At 40.9% G+C, this 6673-nt stretch overlaps 2 annotated features.

Annotated features, from left to right (window-relative positions):
• Positions 4454-4954: an enhancer, noted in NCBI's record as "H3K4me1 hESC enhancer chr8:110870760-110871260 (GRCh37/hg19 assembly coordinates)". NCBI's record gives its function as "activates a minimal SCP1, AML or CMV promoter by ChIP-STARR-seq in naive H9 embryonic stem cells {active_cell/tissue: H9 hESC(naive)}" and the evidence as "EXISTENCE:reporter gene assay evidence [ECO:0000049][PMID:30033119]".
• Positions 4955-5455: an enhancer, noted in NCBI's record as "H3K4me1 hESC enhancer chr8:110871261-110871761 (GRCh37/hg19 assembly coordinates)". NCBI's record gives its function as "activates a minimal SCP1, AML or CMV promoter by ChIP-STARR-seq in naive H9 embryonic stem cells {active_cell/tissue: H9 hESC(naive)}" and the evidence as "EXISTENCE:reporter gene assay evidence [ECO:0000049][PMID:30033119]".

The following is a 6673-nucleotide window of genomic DNA, read 5'->3' on the forward strand; positions in this document are numbered from 1 at the left end:
CTCATGTTGAATTGTAATTCCCTATGTTGGAGAAAGAGCTTGGTGGGAGGTAATTGGATCATGGGGGTGGGTTTCTCATGAATAGTTTAGCACCATCCCTCTTGGTACTGTCCTCATGACAGTGAGTGAGTTCTAGTGAGATCTGGTTGCTTAAAAGTGTGTAACACCTCTCCCCTCTTTCTCTTGCTCCTGCTCCTGCCATGTAAGATGCCTGCTCCCCTTTGCCTTCTGCCATGATTTTAAGCTTCATAAGGCCTCCCCAGAAGCAGAAGCTGCTCTGTTTCCTGTGCATTCTGCAGAACTGAGAACCAATTAAACCTATTTTCTTTATAAATTACTCAGTCTCAAATATTTCTTAATAGCAATGAGAGAATGGACTAATACAAAAGGCATGCCAGCATTTTAATCATTTACTTATCTCTAGGAGTTGGCTTTCCCTAGGAGGCACAGTTTCTCTAGTGTCAGCAAGTCTCCAAAGTACTGAAATATCAAACATATGGAAGACATAATTAATACATTTCTTATTATTGGACTGAGGAAATATCAATTTAGTTTTGAAATTAGCAATCATGTTTTTCATTTTGAAAAGGTCTTTCCTGATCTTGGAATGCTTAGTTCATGATTTACTCATTTCAGTGCGTCTCATCTCCTTTGATGAGTTGGAGGTTTGAAAAGTTGTCTCTTATTCTTGCAACCTTATTTTGTAAGAGAAAATTACTTTTACTCTTCAGTGTTGTCTTTATTTAAACAATCGAGTGCAAATTCTGGTGTTTTTCTTTCCCCCCCATTTGCTTATGCATACAGAAAGTTGTTTGCTTAGTACTGGAGATGAGATGACTTCTATCCCAGAGTATGTGGGTCTTTATTAAAATCTTCACTTCACAGGTGGAGAGAAAATGAAAATGTTAATATTTTATTTATTTTTGTCTTTCTAGATTTTAGGATCAGTAGTCTGAGAGATAGGAAAAAAATAAAGAGACTTTTCCCCCTACACTCACTCATACTGTCAACCCAACACTTCTGACACCAAATGTGTGGGAGCTTTACCTTACGCACCAACTAAGCAATTCTGCAGCAGACACCAGCTGGCTGTCTTCTAATTTAATTCAATTATGACACTTCCTACCTGGTGTAAACCAAAAATAAAATTCTAAGCCCCCTGACTGACTAAATAGACCACATCTCATGGCCAAGGGGATACCAAAGACACCTGAAAAAGGAATTCAGGTCATGATGGGAAGGGGGAGTCAAACATACCTCATTATACCCTCCTCTCTTTGGAGTTCAGGCATAAAATTGACCACCATTAACATTAAAACAGAGATCTGAAGACTGACAAAATAGGCTCTTTGTAGCAATAAGATACCACATTCCAACCTGGATCTAGTATAGCATCACATGACATATGGGGGCTCTGAAAGTAATCAAAATAAAGTATTTTACCCCAATATATTTCTTTGAAATATTTTGAAATGGCTCTGCAAAGCTGTCTCTTGTGGGGAAAAATTACATTCTATAGAGAATCCCCCTCCCTTTCCAGGTCTTTTTCTGATCCTGAAAAGATTAGCTGGGAGTCTCGCACATTTTAAAGCTCTGAAAAGGAAACAATTTGCCATCTATTGCCCCTAAGGATGGACGCCTTCCTATGAGATTTCATCTGTATAATAATAACTTTGATCTTCACAATGCCTTATCTTGACTCAGACACTCCTTTCTATTGATTCTGGGTCTTCAGATAGTAACTCTTTCAACCAATTGCCAATCATAAAATCTCATGATCTTCCACCTGTAACCTGGAAGCCCCCACTTTGAGATGTCCTGCCTTTCCAAACTGAACCAATGTATACCTCACATGTATCGATTGATGTCTTCTGTCTCCCTAAAATATATAAAATCAAACTGTAACTCAGCCACCTTGGGAACATGTTTTTGGGACTTCCTCAGGCTGTGTCATGGGTTATTATTCTTAACCTTGGCAAAATAAACTTCTAAATTAACTGATACCTATCTTAGACACTTTTTGGCTTATGCTTGAGATACTGTCAGATCCCACAGGTTGAGGGCTCAGTTCCACAGGACTGTCCCCCACTTCAGGTCACCAGTTTGCAAATAATAGTCACTTATACATTGACCAGCCAGCTATAAACTGGGGGTTCCCATGACACCTACCTTGGTTTTGATTAATTTGCTAATGTGACCAGTAGAATTCTGGGAAACATTTTAACTGTGTTTACCATTTATTGTAAAGGATATTACAAAGAATACAGAGGAAAAATGAGATAGAAAAGATGTACAGGGCAAGGTATGTAGAAAGGGACACAGAAATTTCATGTCCTCTCAGGACATGCCTCCCTCTAGGAACCTCCAGGTATTTAGCTATCTGCAAGCCCTCTAATGGAAGCTTCATTATGTAGTCATGATTGATTAAATCATTGGTCATTGGTGATCAGTTCAACCTTCAGCCCCTCTCCCTTCCCTGGAGGTTGTGGATGGGGCTAAAAGATTTAATCCTGTAATCATGCCTGGTATTTCTGGTAACCAGCTTTCATTTGGAACCTATTCACAACTCATCAGGATATAAAAAGACACTTATCACTTGGAGATTCCAAGAGCTTGAGGAGTTGTGTGCCAGGAAATATCACCATTATATTCTCATGATCACAAGTGGCCTATTGGCTACATCATGTAGGTGAATTTTCCTACAGGAGTTGCATATCTTTCCACTAATTTTTCTATAATCTGATATTTTTTCTTTAGGACCTTATTACTGGTAAATTTCCCATGTTATTTAAAAGGAAGGATAGTCCATATGTAAAGTCCATGGAATTGTTAAATTTATAATATTATAGGTTGTGATAGGTAAGGTTTCCCAGATTCAGAGTCTGAGAGGGAAGTGATTTATTGAGGAAGTGACAGGGAAACAATTTTATCACAGAGTTTCTCCCATTTTAAAGAATTAGGGCTGAAATTTTACACCCCTGCATCAAAAAGTCACTTTCTCTGGGTTTCCTATAGGGCAGGAAGTAAGAAGGCTCCCACTGGTTGAGGAAAATTCTCCACAGAAAGTAACAGATGTGATTCATTAGTAGACGACGCAGCCACTGCAAGATGAGCAAAAGGGACCTGAAATGTCACTGTCAGGGAGGGAATATAATTTCTCCTCAACTCTCATAAGTTCATAGTTGAGACAGATCCCAGTAACAAAAGACAGATTAACAAGAGAAAAACAGCAAGTTTATTAATGCATGTAGCGCACATCATACAGGAAAAACCTCAGTGAATGGGAACTCACGGCAGTGGCTTACAGCTCTGGCTTATGTAGCATATTTAACAAAGAACAATACATTTGTGGAAAAATGACTGACCAAAGGAAAACAGTTTTACTCTTCCAAAGGTGGGAAATTGTGGGAAGAAACGAATGGAGTAAAACTTGTGTGTAGATTCCTCTGGTGCCATCTCTGAACTAATAAGAGTTGTCTTCAGTAAAGAATTTATATCTTGTCTTTAGGCAGAAAAGGGGGAGGATAGAGAGAATTCTTCCTCTATTGGCTGCTTTCTAATTGGCTTTAGCTAATAAATTCTTCATTCCCTGGGGAGGCACATTGTAGTCTCCCAGGGCACTGACAGTGGTTTCTGCATGTGCCACTGCTCCAAGGGTCAACCACAAAGAAGATGCAGTTTCTCTATTTCTGGTCACTGGATTTTAAAAATAAAGTAGCCTTTCTGATTGTGAGTAAATGAGCATTCAATGTCACAAAGAACTGTTATGCTTGAAAAAAGATATCTGACAAAACAAAAATCTTTAATAGTGGTGCTTCCCATGACATGTGTTAATTTTATGTTTAGTAGAAAATAAGTACTAAGCACATACTATCTGTACTTAGAGGTGTTTATCAAAAATATAACTTCTTCTCAGAGGTAGTATAGCATGCTAATTATCCACCAGAGTTGCTTTTGTGTTCAAATCCCCAACATCCTGAGCTGTAATGGAAGTTGTCAATCTAGAAAAGCAAACCAATTCAAAACTCATTAATAGGAAAAGCAACAGCTGTTATAAATAGTGCATCATATGTCTTTCAAGTATGATTTAAGCTGCTCCTGAGACTGAAAGGTATTGTGATTATAGGAAAGTTTAGTAACACATCCATTCAAAATTAAACTACAAATTTCAATGTAATTCAGTTTTGCAGTAATACATTAATGCTCAATGACCAACACTGTTCTGGGTTTGGTGGAGAACCAATGTAAAGAAAACCCTCAGTGGATCTTACAGACTTCTACCATTATGAGAAAATTAATACAATAAATTACACTTTTATTTCAGAGAGCTTTTTTTAAAAAAATAGTATCCTGAGTCATAATGTGCAATATTCGCTTACCTTACAGTTAAGCTATGGTTAACTTCTATAATTCAAAACATAATCATGATAAAATATGTTCAGAGAAAAGAAAAATTATAGCTATAAAATACAGAAATTTCTTTTTAAAGGAGAGGTGTAGGCCTGTGTTTTAAGAGTCTAATGACCTAGAGTTCTGCTTAAAAATAAGGGTTTGGTGGTGGCAGCCAAGATGGCCGAATAGGAACAGCTCCGGTCTACAGCTCCCAGGGTTAGCGATGCAGAAGACGGGTGATTTCGGCATTTCCATCTGAGGTACCTGGTTCATGTCACTAGGGAGTGCCAGACAGTGGGCGCAGGTCAGTGGGTGCAGCGCACCATGCATGAGCCAAAGCAGGGCGAGGCATTGCCTCACTCGGGAAGTGCAAGGGGTCAGGGAGTTCCCTTTCCTAGTCAAAGAAAGGGGTGACAGACAGGACCTGGAAAATCGGGTCACTCCCACCCTAATATTGCGCTTTTCCAATGGGCTTAAAAAACGGCACACCAGGAGATTATATCCCGCACATGGCTCGGAGGATCCTACACCCACGGAGTCTCGCTGACTGCTAGCACAGCAGTCTGAGATCAAACTGCAAGGAGGCAGCAAGGCTGGGGGAGGGGCGCCCGCCATTGCCCAGGCTTGCTTAGGTAAACAAAGCAGCTGGGAAGCTCGAACTGGGTGGAGCCCACCACAGCTCAAGGAGGCCTGCCTGCCTCTGTAGGCTCCACTTCTGGGGGCAGGGCACAGACAAATACAAAGACAGCAGTAACCTCTGCAGACTTAAATGTCCCTGTCTGACAGCTTTGAAGAGAGCAGTGGTTCTCCCACACGCAGCTGGAGATCTGAGAATGGGCAGACTGCCTCCTCAAGTGGGTCCCTGACCCCTGACCCCTGAGCAGCCTAACTGGGAGGCACCCCCCAGTAGGGGTGGACTGACACCTCACACGGCCAGGTACTCCTTTGAGACAAAACTTCCAGAGGAACGATCAGACAGCAGCATTTGCAGTTCATGAAAATCTGCTGTTCTGCAGCCACCGCTGCTGATACCGAGGCAAACAGGGTCTGGAGTGGACCTCTAGCAAACTCCAACAGACCTGCAGCTGAGGGCCCTGTCTGTTAGAAGGAAAACTAACAAACAGAAAGGACATCCACACCAAAAACCCATCTGTACATCACCATCATCAAAGACAAAAAGTAGATAAAACCACAAAGATGGGGAAAAAACAGAGCAGAAAAACTGGAAACTCTAAAAAGCAGAGCGCCTCTCCTCCTCCAAAGGAATGCAGTTCCTCACCAGCAACAGAACAAAGCTGGACGGAGAATGACTTTGACGAGTTGAGAGAAGAAGCCTTCAGACGATCAAACTACTCTGAGCTACAGTAGGAAATTCAAACCAAGGGCAAAGAAGTTAAAAACTTTGAAAAAAATTTAGACAAATGCATAACTAGAATAACCAATACAGAGAAGTGCTTAAAGGAGCTGACGGAGCTGAAAGCCAAGGCTTGAGAACTACGTGAAGAATGCAGAAGCCTCAGGAGCCGACGCAATCAACTGGAAGAAAGGGTATCAATGATGGAAGATGAAATGAATGAAATGAAGCGAGAAGGGAAGTTTAGAGAAAAAAGAATAAAAAGAAATGAACAAAGCCTCCAAGAAATATGGGACTATGTGAAAAGACCAAATCTACGTCTGATTGGTGTACCTGAAAGTGACGGGGAGAATGGAAAACACTCTGCAGGATATGATCCAGGAGAACTTCCCCAATCTAGCAAGGCAGGCCAACATTCAGATTCAGGAAATACAGAGAACGCCACAAAGATACTCCTCGAGAAGAGCAAATCCAAGACACATAATTGTCAGATTCACCAAAGTTGAAATGAAGGAAAAAATGTTAAGGGCAGCCAGAGAGAAAGGTCGGGTTACCCACAAAAGGAAGCCCATCAGACTAACAGCGGATCTCTCGGCAGAAACTCTACAAGCCAGAAGAGAGTGGGGGCCAATATTCAACATTCTTAAAGAAAAGAACTTTCAACCCAGAATTTCATATCAAGCCAAACTAAGCTTCATAAGTGAAGGAGAAATAAAATACTTTACAGACAAGCAAATGCTGAGGGATTCTGTCACCACCAGGCCTGCCCTACAAGAGCTCCTGAAGGAAGCACTAAACATGGAAAGGAACAACCGGGACCAGCCACTGCAAAATCATGCCAAAATGTAAAGACCATCGAGACTAGGAAGAAACTACATCAACTAATCAGCAAAATAACCAGCTAACATCATAGAGACAGGATCAAAT

The sequence above is a fragment of the Homo sapiens genome, chromosome 8, assembly GCF_000001405.40.
Source record: "Homo sapiens chromosome 8, GRCh38.p14 Primary Assembly".
Classification (NCBI taxonomy): Eukaryota; Metazoa; Chordata; class Mammalia; order Primates; family Hominidae; genus Homo; species Homo sapiens.